Below are 773 nucleotides of genomic sequence, written 5' to 3'. Positions count from 1 at the left end.
CAAATTCTCTGACTTCTCTCCTTTTCCGACCATCTCTCCAGTCTCAACACCATCATTCCTAACTCTGACCACTGCTTTGGACTCCTTTCTCTTTCTGCCTCTCAGCACAGCCTACCCTAGATATTTTCCATTTGCACCTCCAGATCTATCATCTACCCTTGTATCGTGCTTTAGGCTTCTGGAGGCTAACTGCCATAATGGCATTCACAGGCTTGGGCTTTTGCTGGGTTTGGCAAATGTGAATTCACCTGCAGGAGATGGGACCTTAGGGGATTTAGTCCCCTTTTGCTCCCTTAATGGGCAGTGGTTGGACAATGATGACTTCCCTATCTTACAGTCACAGCTTCTATTACCACACCTTTGGCAACTATAGTTTTTTCCTAGGTTCCTGTGAGTTCTTTCCTTGCCCCTTTAAGCTGCTGCTAGGCCTTGGAGCTTTCAACAACCTGTGTTGGCTTTCTTTAACCCTGACCCCACCTTTGAAAAAGTGATTATGAAGTGCCTTTTGTCCCCTTTGACTGTACCATCTATTTCCTGCTAGACCCTGACTGATACACCTGCCACTCCTCCACACCAATTATATCTGTTTATCACAAGACAGTGTGAAAAATTTGAATTCTGTCCTGTAACTCTCTTCTCTGAATATAGTTTACAGGGTCCTATCTCGCTGAACTTTCCTTTCTCATCATGCTGTGTACCACATCTTTCAAATATTCACAAGCTTGAAGATGTCTGCTTTTGGGTGTGTGCAGATACCCTACCCTCTGCCAGAA

The sequence above is a fragment of the Homo sapiens genome, chromosome 5, assembly GCF_000001405.40.
Source record: "Homo sapiens chromosome 5, GRCh38.p14 Primary Assembly".
NCBI classification, from domain to species: Eukaryota; Metazoa; Chordata; class Mammalia; order Primates; family Hominidae; genus Homo; species Homo sapiens.
This window is presented reverse-complemented; position numbering follows the sequence as displayed.